This window comes from Homo sapiens, chromosome X (genome assembly GCF_000001405.40).
Source record: "Homo sapiens chromosome X, GRCh38.p14 Primary Assembly".
Taxonomy (NCBI): Eukaryota; Metazoa; Chordata; class Mammalia; order Primates; family Hominidae; genus Homo; species Homo sapiens.
The window spans coordinates 18732342-18750521 of record NC_000023.11 but is presented as its reverse complement, the minus strand read 5'-3'; the positions used below and the strand labels follow the sequence as shown (position 1 = coordinate 18750521).

Below are 18180 nucleotides of genomic sequence, written 5' to 3'. Positions count from 1 at the left end.
ACAATGGAATATTATCAGCCATAAAAAGAAATCAAGTAATGATATATGATATGACATGAACGAACCTTTAAAACACTAAGAGAAAGAAGCCAAACACAAAAGGCCATATATTTGATGATTTCATTTACATGAAATATCTAGAATAGGCAAATCCATAGAGACAGAAAATAGAACAGTGGTTGCCAGGGGTGGGGAGGAGGCAATGATAACAGGAATGGCCTTTCTATTGGGAGTGATGAAAATGTTCTGGAATGAGATATTGGTGATGGTTGCACAATCCTGTGAATGCGTGAAAAAGTCACTGAGTCGTACACTGTAAAATGGTGACTTTTATGGTATGTGAATGATATCTCAGAAAATGGCAAATGAAATGCTGTTAGCCTACAGAGAGGAGCTTGCTGTGCACCTGAGGAGACTTCTATTAAATGAGTAACAGAGGGGAGCTCTCACTTAATGTGAACTGTTTTCTAAAGAAATGCATCTCTGCTGTGGTATGTTCATCCATTCTTTCAACAGTTATTGGGCATCTGTTATGTACAAGAATCAAGGCAGCATCTGCTTCCACTTACCTGTTGTTCCTTGAAGGCCTCAAGAAGTAAATCAATATCCGTACAAGTGAGAGGAAATTGTAGCCGAGGACCATTATAGGAGTCTGGGACATCTATCGAGTCCACATAATCCCATCTATCCCTCATGTCCTGTTCGCTTTCAAGAGACTGATTTCTTAATTCTGGAAAAGGAAGGACAGAACGGGGGGGTGGGGGTGGGGGTGGGAATCAACATTTCAATACTTAAATTTAATAAATATCTTCTTGAATACCTAGCCCATGTAAGGCACTGTGCTAAATGTTCTGCATATCAACACAGCCCACATATAACCACGAGGAATGACTGACCCTGAGACCAGAACATTCACATGGGTCACCACCATCCCTTCCTGGGCAGATGTTTTACCACAGCAGTGGGTCCATGGCTAGTGGGAAGGGGAGGGAGAAGCACAGGGAAAACTAGCCAATCAAGGTATTTGGATGATCGAAGCTCTAGCTCTAAGTTTTTTGCCCACTCTTACATCTCAGACTTTTACAAATAGGGCTGAAAACAGAACAATACATTATATTTGGTTCAAACATCTGCTGCTATTCAGAACCTACAGAAAATTTAACTGCAACATTCAATTTTTCCCCTGTTAAACACTTCAGAGGATTCTATTTAGCTGTAACGGATTTGTTTTTCTCTTTACTTAAAAATAAACTTTCTGACATGATTTTCATTCTTTCTTGGTAACAAAGCAGATAAAGTTAAAGGACAAATCACAGGCAGAAATACCCAAAGAACCTCTCAGTCTCGGAGAGACAGTTCTACATAACGGAGTGCCTGCATTGTCCATTTTAGTGGGTGCTGAGACCCAGGGTCCCTGCCTGCTAGATTGCCCATGAAACAGTCAGCCCCAGTACAGAAATCAAGACAATTCAGACAGAGAAAGACGAAAGGAAACATGGTAGATGGATTGCAAAAGTGATCCCAATTCTCTATCCCACCTTCTATCCATGCTCTTTGTAATGTACTTTTGCAGCTACTCCCGTCAAGAGTGTGTTTCCCCATCCCTTCAAACCAGGCTGGGCTCATGACTTGTACTGGCCTAAAGAATGTGATGGAAGTGCTATGTACCAGTTCCAAGCTCAGGTCTCTCTGGAGGCCTTGTATGCTTTCATGCACTCTTTAGGAACAATGCCACTACCACAAAGCCTAGGCTAGGCTTCAGAAAGACCCAAGACCATGTAGAGCTGAGCTGAGTCATCCTAGCCAAGGTTGTCCTCGATCAGCCCCCAGCCAGCAGCCACCAGTGTTTGTTCTGGACACATGAGTGAACTCCAGCCAAGACCCAAAAAAACTGCCTAATCAAACCTGCCAAGATCAGCAGAAGTGTTCAGCTAATCTGTAGACTTGTTAGCAAAAAGAAATATTGATTACATGCCACTGAGGTATGGTGGTTGTTTAATACACAATATTCTTGCGGATAATGACCCAGAGGACAATGACATACTCTTCAACTCATTAACACCGAATTGTTACAAAGGCCATTCTTCAGAAGTTCTCTGCAAACAGTTTCTATCTTTTAAAATATTCAGAGTGGTCAAGATATAGACAGAATACATTTTTTTCATGATCCAGTTATGCTGAGAGATTACAGTTAAGAACTAAACGTGAAAAATGTTTTCTAAAGTCATACTATTTGGCAATTTAAAAAAATATTTTCTAAATTCTTGTGTACCACAGTGTTTTCTGGTGGTGGTTGATGATGTTTTATAAGAAGCTGAATTTAGGAGTAATAATGTCTGTCTTTAATGTGGTCCGGGAGTGGTTATTTTTCTCATTTGGGTTTGGTTTGAGATTTAAGAATAACTTAATTATTTCAATTTATATTTAGAGACTAGAAAGGGAGAGCATCTTGACAACTTTATCTCAGATTCATTACGTAGGCAGTAAAGCCTAAATACTTCACTGTCTTCAATGCCCATGCCACCCTTTTCAATTTGGTAGTCGTTCTTGGATATAAATCTTGCTTCAAATGAAAACTTTCCTTTTCCTGACTGTACACACTGAAATACCAAGCAACTCTTAGAAAAAACAAATAACAGCAAAAACAAAAACCCACAAAAACCCGCAGTACTTTCACTATATCATCTAACAGAATTATAAAGGTTATTTTCTGTTATAGACTCTAAAAAATAAAGTGAATATGGAACGCATGGTAAAAACTAGGGGATTCTGTTTTTTAGATGGGGGAGGAATTTATGATATGATTGCAGTGTTCATGAGAAAGGCAGTGAAACAGCCTGGGCAACATGGTGAAACCTCGTCTCTACAAAAAATACAAAAAAACTAGCTGGGCATAGTGGCGTGCGCCTATAATCCCAGCTACTCAGGAGGCTGAGGCAGGAGGATGAGCCCAGGAGGTCAAGGCTGCAGTGAGGTGTGATTGTGCCACTGCACTCCAGCCTAGGCAACACAGCAAGACCCTGTCTCAAAAAGAAAGAAAGAAAGGCAGCATAGCTTAAAGCATGCCTGATTTAGAAAGTCAGATGCTGGAAGGAAAGAGGAAATGAAGTTGAGGATGCAGCTATGGATGCAGACAGGCATATGGAACCACCCATGGAGCTGTTCCCCACACCCTTTCTCCCTTCCAAATCCTCAGAGGCCTGGCAACTTCATAGTCACTTCCTCCCTTGCCTGTATCTCCAGCATGATCCTCTCTTCAGACTCTGTAACACAATTAAACATAGTTAGACACTCCTCCGATCTAAGATGTCACCCCGGGACCTTGCATCTCCCCCACACTGGCGATGCTTTCCTCTCCCAGCCCAGCACTCTGTCTTTATTGTTCCCACTCTTCCCTCTCCCTGGACTACCCTTGCTTTCTCTTCTTTGGACAATTTATCATCCTTCAAAACTCAGCAACCCCTGCCCAGTTGAACCCCAGGCCACACCTTTTCCAAGGCATCATGGTGATAATGACAAGGATGGGAGCTCCCAGTTACTGATGTGCCAGGCACTGTTCTAAGCACCTTACACATGTGTATTCATGTAATGACCGAAACCACCCTATGAGATAAATATTGTTGGTATCTCCATTTTATATACAAGGAAAATGGGGTACAGCATGTAAGTAGCAGAGATGGAACTTGATCCCAGAGAATCTGGCTTTGAGCTCAAACTCTTAACCATTACACTTTTACTGCATATTAAAATGTAACTATGCTACACGATACCTACAGTATTATTTATATACTTATAACCGATTTATTTAGTAACCCCAACTCTGTGAGCAATAAAGCAAAAATCATTTTATTTTCCCAATCACTGCCTCCACCCATGCTGTCATCTCTCCCTTTCCCATCGGCTAACTGACACAGCAAATCAGTTCCATCCCTTCCAGTTATGAAGACTCAGTCTTGTTACTTAAGAACAAAATTAAAATATTGTTTTCATTCTTTAAAAAAAAGAGAAGCTTGGTCTACCGTCCCTTCCATAGATCTGATGACCATCATTGCCTAAAAGTTCAGTGACAAAGATATGAAAAAGGACCAGTTCCCTAAACCGATTCTTAGTTAAAACTACTCAATATGAAGTATTAGTCAACGTCAAATCATAATCCTTCTGCTGGTTTTTAGCAACATAAAAAAGAATAACATAAATTCTCTTCCAGTAGCTAATGTGTCATGTATGAAAACAATCAAAGGCTTTAACATTTCTTATGTATATACTGTTCTTGTGGGCTAGAACTATTATAACTAATAACAATAATTTAATGAACAATATATAAAGATTTGTGCAACACAGAATTAATCCTTACCTATTTGGTTTACAATTTTGTCAACATGAATCTAAACTAATTAAGAATTATAGGCAAATGATACCTTTACAAGTTGTTCTAAAGAAAATACCTCAAAAATACCCCCTACACACAATCTTTTCTTTTACCCAGTACAGACTCAAAATCTGGACAGGGAAAAATTTAAAGCCCATAAATTTTTATACAACAATTTCTGCCTCTACCACCCACATGTCACTTTGAAAACAAGCTCCAGATATTGCTGGAAAAAGAAAAGCAACAATTGAACTACATTTATAGTTATTTTTGTTTCTCAGTTATGAATCTGGATCAGAACCATTGGTGTCCATATAATAAATTCAATAGATGCCAAAATGACATTTCATAAAATTTAACATCTGTTCCTGATTTTTTAAAAACTCAGAAACTAGGAATGGAATGATACTTCCTTAACATCGCTTTATAAATTTAAATAATCAATAATGGTTTTTCCATTAAATCATCAACAAAACAAGGATGCCCACTTTCACTGTTTCATTCTAACACTGATCCACTATCTTTGGCCAATGCAATAAGACATGAAGCTGAAATAAGAGCAGTAATTATTGTATAGAAAGATATAAAAATAAAGTTACTTGTGGCCAATGTGATTAAATACCTACACCCAAGAAAATCAATTGAAAAACTCCCAGAATTGATAGGAGAATTAAATGTAATACAGAGGCTGGGCATGGAGAATTGCTTGAGTCCAGGAGTTCGAGACAAGCCTGGGCAACATGGCAAAACCCCTACAAAAAATGCAAAAAAATTAGCTGGGCATGGTGGTGCGTGCCTCTAGTCCCAGCTACTCGGGAGCCTGAGGTAGGAGGATCATCTGAGCCCAGGAGGTCGAGGCTGCAGTGAGCCATGATCATGTTACTGTGCTCTAGTCTGGGTGACAGAGTGAGACCCTGTCTCGAAAATAAATATATATATATATAATATATATTCTATATAATTATATGGAATATAATATAATATATAATTATATTATAATATATAATATATATAATATAATTATATAATATATATAATATAATTATATAATATATAATATATATTCCATATAAATATATAATTATATGGAATATATATTATATAAATACTATAATAAATATATATTTTATATTTTTTATATGTATAAAATATAGACATTAATCACACTGGTTTGAATCACAGCTTCTCCACCAATGAGATGAATAACCTTGGGAGATTGCCTTCTAAGCCTCAGATTCCATATCTACAAAAAGGGGATGATAATACTACTAATCTCACTGGTTTGTCATGAAGACTAAATGAAATGATGTATTTAAAGCACTTAAATACATGGCACATGGTAAACATGTAACAAATATCAACAATAAAAATATTATTATTACTTAATAGTAGCACAATATAAGATAAATTGACATAATTCAAAAGCTTTACTAAACACTACCGATAACCAATGGAAGATATAATGGGGAAAATGTTCTATTCACCATAGCAACAAAAAATATAAAATACCTGGTCCGATAGGACATTTTGGCTGATCTGAGAAGCAGAAAGAAAAGTGAAAACAACACTTCCACACACTCCATCCCACTCCCCGCTTCCGCCAGTCTCTGTTTAAACCTATGGCTATGTATGGCAGCTTCGGCTTTCTGCCTGTGGGAGGAGGCTGATGTGTGAAAAGTGGACTGGGAATGTTTCTGTGGAGTCTCTACACCCCATGGAGTCCTATGCACTGGTTTTGAGCTCTTAAAGTAGTAGCACAGGGAGATCAACTGTTATAATTGATCATCAAGAGGTGGTAGGATTACAAGGACAAGTATGACTGCTTCCAGGGTCACCTCTTATCTTCAGAGTACCCAACGTGTCTCAAGATACTCCATGCCCCAGAGTTAAGACCATTAATCTGGTGGCCCCGATATCTGGAAATGTTAAATAACCTTCTGGTTCCTAAAAATATCCTATTTAGGCCGGGCGCAATGGCTCACGCCTGTAATCCCAGCACTTTGGGAGGCCGAGGCGGGTGGATCACCTGAGGTCGGGAGTTTGAGACCAGCCTGACCAGCATGGAAGAAACCCCGTATCTACTAAAAATACAAAATTAGCCAGGCATGGTGGTGCATGCCTGTAATCCCAGCTACTCGGGAGCCTGAGGCACGAGAATCACTTGAACCTGGGCAGCGGGGAGGTTGCAGGGAGCCGAGGTCATGCCACTGCACTCCAGCCTGGGCGACAGAGTGAGACTCTATCTAAAAAAATAAAATAAAATAAGAAGAGTTAGAAAACTCTTCCAAATTCATAAGAAAAAGACAAATAACCCAATAGAAAAATGGACAAAAAAACCTGAACAGGAACTTCACCACATGAGATGTCCACATGACCAATAAACATACAAAAAGGTGAGCAACTTGGTCGGGAGCGGTGGCTCATGCCTGTAATCCCAGCACTTTGGGAGGCCGAGGTGGGCGGATCACCTGAGGTCAGGAGTTTGAGACCAGCCTGGCCAATGTGGCGAAACCCATTTCTACTAAAAATGCAAAAATTAGCCAGGCGTGGTGGCACATGCCTGTAGTCCCAGCTACTCAGGAAGCTGAGGCAGGAGAATGGCTTGAACCCGGGAGGCAGAGGTTGCAGTGAGCCGAGATTACGCTACTGCACTCCAGCCTGGGGAACAGAGTAAGACTCTGTCTCAAAAAAAAAAAAAAAAAAAAAGAAAAAGAGAAAAAAGAAAAGAAAAAAAGTGAGCAACTTGACTGCTCAAAGGGAAATGCAAATTAAACCTGAAATACGATACCACTAGATATTCACCAGAATGACTAAAATGAAATGAATGTACTATTGCAAGTGTTGGTGAGGATATGGAGCAACTGAACTGGTGAGAGTATAGCTTGTTACAACCATCCTGTAAAAATGTCTGCCAGTATCTAATAAAGCTGAACAGATATAAGCGCTATAACCCCAAACTTCTATCCCTGGCTTGTGGTACATTTTTATGATAATGGCTCCCCAAGGAATCATGCCTCCCTATGTCCACATCCCTTTATACTGTAATACTGCCACTCCTCTGAGGAAGAGATGGATATCTCTTTAACTGCTCTGAATTCACGTCTGGCCTTGTGACTTGTTTTAACCGATAGAGTATGGCAGAACTGATTTCCCAGAGTTCTAGCACATAGGCCTTAAGAGGCCTGGCAGCTTCTGCCTTTGCCCTCTTGGACCCAGCCATCATGTAAAGAAGTCCAGAATAGCCTAATGGACAGAAAGGCTGCGTGAGAAAAAGAGAGGTAACCAAATTTTTTTTTTTTTTTCTGAGATGGAGTCTCACTATGTCACCCAGGCTGGAGTGCAGTAGCACGATTTTGGCTCACTGCAACCTCCGCCTCCCAGGTTCAAGCGATTCTTGTGCCTCAGTCTCCTGAGTAGATGGGATTACAGGCGTGCACCAACACACCCAGCTAATTTTTGTATTTTTACTAGAGATGGGGTTGGCCAGGCTGGTCTTGAACTCCTGATCTCAAGTGATCCATCCACCTCAGCCTCCCAAAGTGCTGAGATTACAGGCATGAGTTACTGCACCTGGCCGAGAGGTAACCAAGTTAATACCTAATACCAAAATCCCAGACATGTGATTAAAACCATTTGATCTTTCCTGCCCAGTCCAGCTAGATGAGTGAGCTCAACTGATAACACATGGAACAGAGGTAAGTTGTTCCCAGCAAGCCCTGTTCAAATGCCTGACCCACAGAATTACATGCAATAACATGGCTGTTGTTTTTAAGTCACTAAATGTGGGGGTAGTTTATTAGGTAGCAATAGATAACCAAAAATGAATATATAGCCAAATAAATGCATACATATTTTACCAAAAGGGACATGTACAAGAATGTACATAGCAGCACCATTTAAATCACCAATCTGAAAACAACTCAAATGCCCATACACAATCGAATGGATCAATTATGGTATATTAGTAAAATGGAATATTATTCAGCAATAAAAATGACCAAATTACAAGGATGATTCTTACAAATGTAATGATGATCAAAAGAAGCCAGACTCAGGACTGGGCACAGTGGCTCATGTGTGTAATCCCAGCACTTTGGAAGGCCGAGGCAGGCAAATCACCCGAGGCCAGGAGTTCGAGACCAGCCTGGCCAACAAGGCGAAACCCCATCTCCACTAAGAATACAAAAATTAGCCAGGTTTACTGGTGAATGCCTGTAATCCCAGCTACTCGGGAGGCATGAGAATTGCTTGAACCAGGAAGGTGGAGGTTGCAGTGAGGTGAGATTGCGCCACTGCAATTCAGCCTGGGTGACAGAGCAAGACTCTGTCTCAACAACGACAACAAAACAAAACGTTAAAAAAAAAAAAAAAAAAAAAAAAGAAGCAGCAGCCAGACTCAAATGGGTATATACCACATGCTTCCATCTATATAAAGAAGTTCAAAGACTAATCTAGGGTGTAGAAGTCAAGAAAGTAGTTATGTGATTGTGTGGGGGTTGGGTAGCAGTACAAGAAGGCAGGATGGGAAACTTATGTGGCCCTGATCATGTTTTATTTCTTGTTCCAGGTGCCAGTTACATGGGTGTGTTTACTTTGAGAAAATGTACTGAGTCATATAATTTGTATACCTTCCTGTAATGTATACTTCCAAAAAAGCTTCTATAAGAAGATTAAACCACTGTCCCCTTCTTTAATAAAAATATTTTTCTTATATTTTAAAATCACCTACGGAATTTTTTAAAATGCAGATTAAAACAACAACAATGACAACACAGTCTGAGTAGACATCTCCGGGCTGGAACCCAGCCACCTGTGGCTCTGAAACTCCGTAAGTGATTCTGATGAAGTGAGCCTGGGTTGAAGTATTAGGTCATTAGCAGAAAGTGCTGTTTCATTTTATCATTATCATATTTCCTCTCAAAAACATTTTTGCCAAGGAATATGAAGCATAAACAACTGTCTTCGAATTGCAGTTATCTAAAAGAAAAAATGGCAAAGTACCCACTTCCACCCACTCCCCATTCCTTAGGTTTGGCTATTTCACCATTCAGAAGGCTTCTACAGATCATTAAATGCTTTAATTAGTTTCATACATATGCACTTAGCTTAAATCATGCCCATTAAAACACCATTCTTTTACCACTTCACTTTGAAGGGTATTTACCAGATTATTTAAAAGATGCTCCTAGATGCCATACACATTTTAATGAGAGCAAAAAAAAAAAAAAAAAAAAAATGGTTGGCCCAAATTAAAGCAAAATGAGCGTTTAAGTCTGGCATCTGTCTTGGAGATAATAACAGGCAGATCTTAATTTGCAGGAGAAATACATGGTTGTAAAAAATTATAATTTTAAAATCATTTTTGAACTACACCTCCATTGCCTGCCTCTGCTTCAGAATGACTAGATGATAGGTAGACAGACAGACAGATCAAAGAGAAGAGAGGCCGGGTGCAGTGGCTCATGCCTGTAATCCCAGCACTTTGGGAGACTGAGGCAGGCAGATCACGAGGTCAGGGGTTCAAGACCAACCTGGTCAACATTCTCAAACCCTGTCTCTACTAAAAATACAAAAAATTAGCTGGGTGTGGTAGCAAGCACCTGTAATCCCAGACACTCAGGAGGCTGAGGCAGGAGAATCACCTGAATCCGGGAGGCAGAGGTTGCAGTGAGCCGAGACCGTGCCACTGCACTGCAGCCTGGGAAACAGAGCGAGACTCTGTCTCAAAAAAAAAAAAAAGAGAGAGAGAGAGGACAGAAAACAGACACAACGGGGCCAACTGTGTTTAATTTGCCATTTTCCCCTAGATCTGCTGCATGAAATACTCAAAATATTTTGATCTCTCAGCAAAAAAGTTTTGTGGATGAAAAATGAAGTTCCCTTGATCTTGGTTCCAAGATGGCCGAATAGGAACAGCTCCAGTCTACAGCTCCCAGCGTCAGCGACGCAGAAGACAGGTGATTTCTGTATTTCCAACTGAGGCACCGGGTTCATCTCACTCGGGCTTATTGGACAGTGGGTGCAGCCCACGGAGTGTGAGCAGAAGCAGGGCTGGGCATCGCCTCACCCAGGAAGGGCAAGGGGTCGGGGAATTCCCTTTCCTAGCCAAGGGAAGCCGTGACAGATGGTACCTGGAAAATCAGGACACTCCCACTCTAATACTGCACTTTTCCAATGGTCTTAGCAAATGGCACACTAGGAGATTATATCCCACACCTGGCTTGGAGGGTCCCACGCCCACGGAGCCTCGCTCACTGCTAGCACAGCAGTCCAAGATTGAACTGCAAGGCAGCAGCAAGGGTGGGGGAGGGGCATCCACCATTGCTGAGGCTTGAGTAGGTAAACAAAGCAGCCGGGAAGCTTGAACTGGGTGGAGCCCATTGCAGCTCAAGGAGGCCTGCCTGCCTCTATAGACGCCACCTCTGGGGGCAGGGCATAGCTGAACAAAAGGCAGCAGAAACTTCTGCAGACTTAAACATCCCTGTCTGACAGCTTTGAAGAGAGTAGTGGTTCTCCCAGCACAGAGTATGAGATCTGACAACGGACAGACTGCCTCCTCAAGTGGGTCCCTGACCCCCGAGTAGCCTAACTGGGAGACAACTCCCAGGAGGGGCCGAATGACACCTCATACAGCCAGGTACCCCTCTGAGACGAAGTTTCCAGAGAAAGGATCAGGCAGCAACATTTGCCGTTCTGCAATATTTGCTGTTCTGAAGCCTCTGCTGGTGATACTCAGGCAAACAGGGTCTGGAGTGGACCTCCAGCAAATTCCAACAGACCTGCAGCTGAGGGTCCTGACTGTTAGAAGGAAAACTAACAAACAGAAAGGACATCCACACCAAAACCCCATTTGTAGGTCACCATCATCAAAGACCAAAGGCAGATAAAACCACAAAGATGCGGAGAAACCAGAGCAGAAAAGCTGAAAATTCTAAAACTCAGAGTGCCTCTTCTCCTCCAAAGGAACGCAGCTCCTCGCCAGCAATGGAACAAAGCTGGACAGAGAAGGACTTTGATGAGTTGACAGCCGTAGGCCTCGGATGATCGGTAATAACAAACTTCTCCGAGCTAAAGGAGGATGTTCGAACCCATCGCAAAGAAGTTAAAAACCTTGAAAAAAGATTAGACGAATGGCTAACTAGAATAAACAGCGTAGAGAAGACCTTAAATGACCTGATGGAGCTGAAAACCACGGCACGAGAATTACATGACGCATGCACAAGCTTCAGTAGCTGATTTGATCAAGTGGAAGAAAGGGTATCAGTGATTGAAGATCAAATGAATGAAATGAAGCGAGAAGAGAAGTTCAGAGAAAAAAGAGTAATAAGAAATGAACAAAGCCTCCAAGAAATATGGGACTATGTGAAAAGACTAAATCTGCATCTGATTGGTGTACCTGAAAGTGACTGGGAGAATGGAACCAAGTTGGAAAACACTCTTCAGGATATTATCCAGGAGAACTTCCCCAATCTAGCAAGGCAGGCCAACATTCAGATTCAGGAAATACAGAGAATGCCACAAAGATACTCCTCGAGAAGAACAACTCCAAGACACATAATTGTCAGATTCACCAAAGTTGGAAATGAAGGAAAAAATGTTAAGGGCAGCCAGAGAGAAAGGTCGGGTTACCCACAAAGGGAAGCCTATCAGACTAACAGCGGATCTCTCGGCAGAAACTCTACAAGCCAGAAGAGGGTGGGAGCCAATATTCAACATTCTTAAAGAAAAGAATTTTCAACCCAGAATTTCATATCCAGCCAAACTAAGCTTCGTAAGTGAAGGAGAAACAAAATCCTTTAAAGACAAGCAAATGCTGAGAGATTTTGTCACCACCAGGCCTGCCTTACAAGAGCTCCTGAAGGAAGCACTAAACATGGAAAGGAACAACTGGTACCAGCCACTGCAAAAACATGCCAAATTGTAAAGACCATCGTGGCTAGGAAGAAACTGCATCAACTAACGAGAAAAATAACCAGCTAACATCATAATGACAGGATCAAATTCACACATAACAATATTAACCTTAAGTGTAAATGAGCTAAATGCTCCAATTAAAAGACACAGACTGGCAAATTGGATAAAGAGTCAAGACCCATCAGTGTGCTGTATTCAGGAGACCCATCTCACGTGCAGAGACACACATAGGCTCAAAATAAAGGGATGAAGGAAGATCTACCAAGCAAATGGAAAACAAAAAAAAAGCAGGGGTTGCAATCCTAGTCTCTGATAAAACAGACTTTAAACCAAGAAAGATAAAAAGAGACAAAGAAGGCCATTACAAAATGGTAAAGGGATCAATTCAATAAGAAGAGCTAACTATCCTAAATATATGTGCACCCAATACAGGAGCACCCAGATTCATAAAGCAAGTCCTGAGTGACCTACAAAGAGACTTAGACTCCCACACAATAATAATGGGAGACTTTAACACCCCACTGTCAACATTAGACAGATCAACAAAACAGAAAGTTAACAAGGATACCCAGGAACTGAACTCAGCTCTGCACCAAGCAGACCTAATAGACATCTACAGAACTCTCCACCCCAATCAACAGAATAAACATTCTTCTCAGCACCACATCACACTTATTCCAAAACTGACCACATAGTTGGAAGTAAAGCACTCCTCAGCAAGTGTAAAAGAACAGAAATTATAACAAACTGTCTCTCAGACCACAGTGCAATCAAACTAGAACTCAGGATTAAGAAACTCACTCAAAACTGCTCAACTACATGGAAACTGAACAACCTGCTCCTGAATGACTACTGGTACATAACGAAATGAAGGCAGAAATAAAGATGTTCTTTGAAACCAATGAGAACAAAGACAACATACCAGAATCTCTGGGACACATTTAAAGCAGTGTGTAGAGGGAAACTTATAGCACTAAATGCCCACAAGAGAAAGTAGGAAAGATATAAAATTGACACCCTAACATCACAATTAAAAGAACTAGAGAAGCAAGAGCAAACATATTCAAAAGCTAGCAGAAGGCGAGAAATAACTAAGATCAGAGCAGAACTGAAGGAAATAGAGACACAAAAAACCCTTCAAAAAATCAATGAATCCAGAAGCTGTTTTGAAAAGATCAACAAAATTGATAGACTGCTAGCAAGACTAATAAAGAAGAAAAGAGAGAAGAATCAAACAGACGTAATAAAAAATGATAAAGGGGATATCACCACCGATCCCACAGAAATACAAACTACCATCAGAGAATACTATAAACACCTCTACACAAATAAACTAGAAAATCTAGAAGAAATGGATAAATTTCTGGACACATACACCCTCCCAAGACTAAACCAGGAAGAAGTTGAATCTCTGAATAGACCAATAACAGGCTCTGAAATTGAGGCAATAATTAATAGCCTACCAACCAAAAAAAGTACAGGACCAGACAGATTCACAGCCGAATTCTACCAGAGGTACAAAGAGGAGCTGGTACCATTCCTTCTGAAACTATTCCAATCCATAGAAAAAGAGGGAATCCTCCTTAATTCATTTTATGAGGCCAGCACCATCCTGATACCAAAGGCTGGCAGAGACACAACAAAAAAAGAGAATTTTAGACCAATATCCCTGATGAACATTGATGCAAAAATCCTCAATAAAATACTGGCAAACCGAATCCAGCAGCACATCAAAAAGCTTATCCACTACAATCAAGTCAGCTTTATCCCTGGGATACAAGGCTGGTTCAATATATGCAAATCAATAAATGTAATCCAGCATATAAACAGAACCAAAGACAAAAACCACACGATTATCTCAATAGATGCAGAAAAGGCCTTTGACAAAATCCAACAGCCCTTCATGCTAAAAACTCTTAATAAACTAGGTATTGATGGGACGTATCTCAAAATAATGACAGCTATTTATGACAAACCCACAGCCAGTACCATACTGAATGGACAAAAACTGGAAGCATTCCCTTTGAAAACTGGCACAAGACAGGGATGCCCTCTCTCACCACTCCTATTCAACATAGTGTTGGAAGTTCTGGCCAGGGCAATCAGGCAGGAGAAAGAAATAAAGGGTATTCAATTAGGAAAAGAGGAAGTCAAATTGTCCCTGTTTGCAGACGACATGATTGTATATTTAGAAAACCCCATTGTCTCAGCCCAAACTCTCCTTAAACTGATAAGCAACTTCAGCAAAATCTCAGGATACAAAATCAATGTGCAAAAATCACAAGTATTCCCATACACCAATAACAGACAAACAGAGAGCCAAATCATGAGTGAACTCCTATTCACAATTGCTTCAAAGAGAATAAAATACGTAGGAATTCAACTTACAAGGGATGTGAAGGACCTCTTCAAGGAGAACTACAAACCACTGCTCAAGGAAATAAAAGAGGACACAAACAAATGGAAGGACATTCTGTGTTCATGAATAGGAAGAATCAATATCGTGAAAGTGGCCATACTGCCCAAGGTAATTTATAGATTCAATGCCATCCCCATCAAGCTACCAATGACTTTCTTCACAGAATTGGAAAAAACTACTTTAAAGTTCCTATGGAACCAAAAAAGAGCCCACATTGCCAAGACAAACCTAAGCCAAAAGAACAAAGCTGGAGGCATCACGCTACCTGACTTCAAACTATACTACAAGGCTACAGTAACCAAAACAGCATGGTACTGGTACCAAAACAGAGACATAGACCAATGGAACAGAACAGAGTCCTCAGAAATAATACCACACATCTACAACCATCTGGTATTTGACAAACCTGACAAACACAAGAAATGGGGAAAGGGTTCCCTATTTAATAAATGGTGCTGGGAAAACTGGCTAGCCATATGGAGAAAGCTGAAACTGGATCCCTTCCTTACACCTTATACAAAAATTAATTCAAGATGGATTAAAGACTTAAATGTTAGACCTAAAACCATAAAAACCCTAGAAGAAAACCTAGGCAATACCATTCAGGACACAGGCATGGGCAAGGACTTCATGACTAAAACACCAAAAGCAATGGCAACAAAAGCCAAAATTGACAAATGGGATCTAATTAAACTAAAGAGCTTCCGCACAGCAAAAAAACTATCATGAGAGTGAACAGGCAACCTACAGAATGGGAGAAAATTTTTACAATCTACCCATCTGACAAAGGGCTAATATCCAGAATCTACAAAGAACTTAAACAAATTTACAAGAAAAAATCAAACAACCTCATCAAAAAGTGGGCAAAGGATATGAACAGATACTTCTCAAAAGAAGACATTTATGCAGCCAACGGACACATGAAAAAATGCTCATCGTCACTGGCCATCAGAGAAATGCAAATCAAAACCACAATGAGATACCATCTCACACCAGTTAGAATGGTGATCATTAAAAGTCGGGAAACAACAGGTGCTGGAGAGGATGTGGAGAAATAGGAACAGTTTTACACTGTTGGTGGGACTGTAAACTAGTTCAACCATTGTGGAAGACAGTGTGGCGATTCCTCAAGGATCTAGAACCAGAAATACCATTTGACCCAGCCATCCCGTTACTGGGTATATACCCAAAGGATTATAAATCATGCTGCTATAAAGAGACATGCACACGTATGTTTATTGCGGCACTATTCACAATAGCAAAGACTTGGAACCAACCCAAATGTCCATCAATGATAGACTGGATTAAGAAAATGTGGCACATATACACCATGGAATACTATGCAGTCATTAAAAAGGATGAGTTCATGCCCTTTGTAGGGACATGGATGAAGCTGGAAACCATCATTCTGAGCAAACTATCGCAAGGACAGAAAACCAAACACTGCATGTTCTCACTCATAGGTGGGAATTGAACAATGAGAACACTTGGACACAGGGTGGGGAACATCACACACTGGGGCCTGTTATGGGGTTGGGGGAGGGGGGAGGGATAGCATTAGGAGTACACCTAATGTAAATGATGAGTTAATGGGTGCAGCACACCAACATGGCACATGTATACATAAGTAACAAACCTGCACGTTGATCACATGTACCCTAGAACTTAAAGTATAATAATAATAATAATAAATAAGGTTCCCTTTACTAAGCTACTGTTGTGTACCGATAGATTGTAGTTCAGAAAAGGCATTCAACAAATGAATATTGAATGAATTCTAATTCAGCTTTTGGAAAAGTGAAAAAGTTAAATGATTGATTTAGTTGACACCATCCAGAGAGGGAAAAAGGCCACTTGAACTGATGTTGCCAGTTGTTGGGTGTCACATAAACAAAAGAGGTAGGCATCTTTTTAATTTCATAGTGTTCTCCCATCTTCAGAATTTACCGCTCTTGATGAAGACAATTCAATATTTAATGACACATTTGAAAAGACTAAGCTTTTTACTTACCTAGCTCTTCCTTATGTATATGTGTGTAGTTTTCCAACATGAAGGAAAAGAAGGTGGATAACTGGACAAAATAAAAAAAAATTAATCAATTAGTGAACCCCAAACAGCTACTGTGACAAATGCTGTTGGTGTTCCACCCGAGTGCCCTTACTCTTGTGGGGCATTTGTATCTCAGCTGCTGCAGGTGCTAAGGGTCACTTCTATGCCTGCCTCCAGAGGACTGCCTGCATCCAGAGCAACACAGGGTAACACATGAACGCCCCTCCTGTGGGGCTGCCCAGAGACAACGACTGGCTGAAGCAAGGGTGTAACAGCCCAGTCCCCCACCTCCCTTGCCTCTGCCAGGGACAAACTGTAGTGCATTTCACACTTGACAGCTCCAGATGGGATCAGGCTGAGGTCAGACTTCAAAAAGTACATCTTGGCCTAGCTTCTCCCCTGTCCTGTCTCGCATTCCTCACTCCCTTACAGGCTTTCCCTGAAAACACACCCTCAATAAGTCACTTGTACCAGAATCCCTGTCTCAGCCTCTGCTTCTAGGAAATCCAACGTAAGACAGCTACCAAATTTTGTTCATTATGATCTCTTCTTTTCTTTTTTTTAAGATGGAGTTTCACTCTTGTCACCCAGACTGGAATGCAATGGCACAATTTTGGCTCACTGTAACCTCCGCCTCCCCGGATCAAGCGATTCTCCTGCCTCAGTGTCCCGAGTAGCTGGGATTACAGGCACTCGCCACCATGTCCAGCTAATGTTTTTGTATTTTTAGTAGAGACAGGGTTTCAACATGTTGGCCAGGCAGGTCTCAAACTCCTGACCTCAGGTGATCCACCTGCCTCGGCCTCCCAAAGTGCTAGGATTACAGGTGTGAGCCACTGCACCCGGTCATGATCTCTTTTCTTTTTGGTGGTGAAATTAAGAGTTAAGGAATATTCTTAAATATCAAATATATTTTGGAAAGAAAGGAAGGGAAAGGTGGAACTTCACCAGCTTTCCAGCCACAATCAGGGTACTGGCTCTATGGCCACCAGGTATCTGCAAAGACCTGCATTTGTACAGCACAAATAATTTCTTTTTCAAGCCCTGCCTCTCATGAAAAGTAAACACTTTATCAATCTGGGAGTAGATCTGGGAGTTGGGAATTGAGAGAAGGAAGACTTTCCATACAGTTATCAAAATGTATGATTTTAATGCTGTTGATGATGGGTTTGTCCATTAACAGTCAATAGAAACCACAATCAGACATCACTTCACACCCACTACGATAGCTATAATCAAAAAGAGATAATAACAAGTATTGGCAAAAATGTGAAGAAATTGGAGCCCTCATCCACTGCTGGTGGGAAGGTAAAACGATGGAGCTGCTTTGGAACACAGTTTAGCAGCTCCTCAAAAAGTTAAGCACAAAGTTACTACATGACATTCCACTCACAGGTCTATACCCAAGAGAACTGAAAACATATGTTC

General features: G+C 40.9%; 1 protein-coding gene across 19 annotated transcripts in view; it reads right to left on the bottom strand.

Annotated features, from left to right (window-relative positions):
* The window catches only part of PPEF1 (protein phosphatase with EF-hand domain 1), a 152851-nt gene that overhangs the window by 77396 nt on the left and 57275 nt on the right, over positions 1-18180 (bottom strand). For 15 of the 19 annotated variants that reach the window (XM_047442194.1, NM_001377986.2, XM_047442195.1 and 12 more), the window contains 2 exons: positions 16714-16774; positions 570-730 (listed from right to left, as the gene is read on the bottom strand). In XM_047442194.1, coding sequence (XP_047298150.1) covers positions 570-730; positions 16714-16774 — 222 coding nt within the window. The remainder of the gene's footprint in view (positions 1-569; positions 731-16713; positions 16775-18180) is intronic. The other 4 variants (XM_017029612.2, NM_001389624.1, NM_001377995.1 and 1 more) reach the window with 2 other exon arrangements.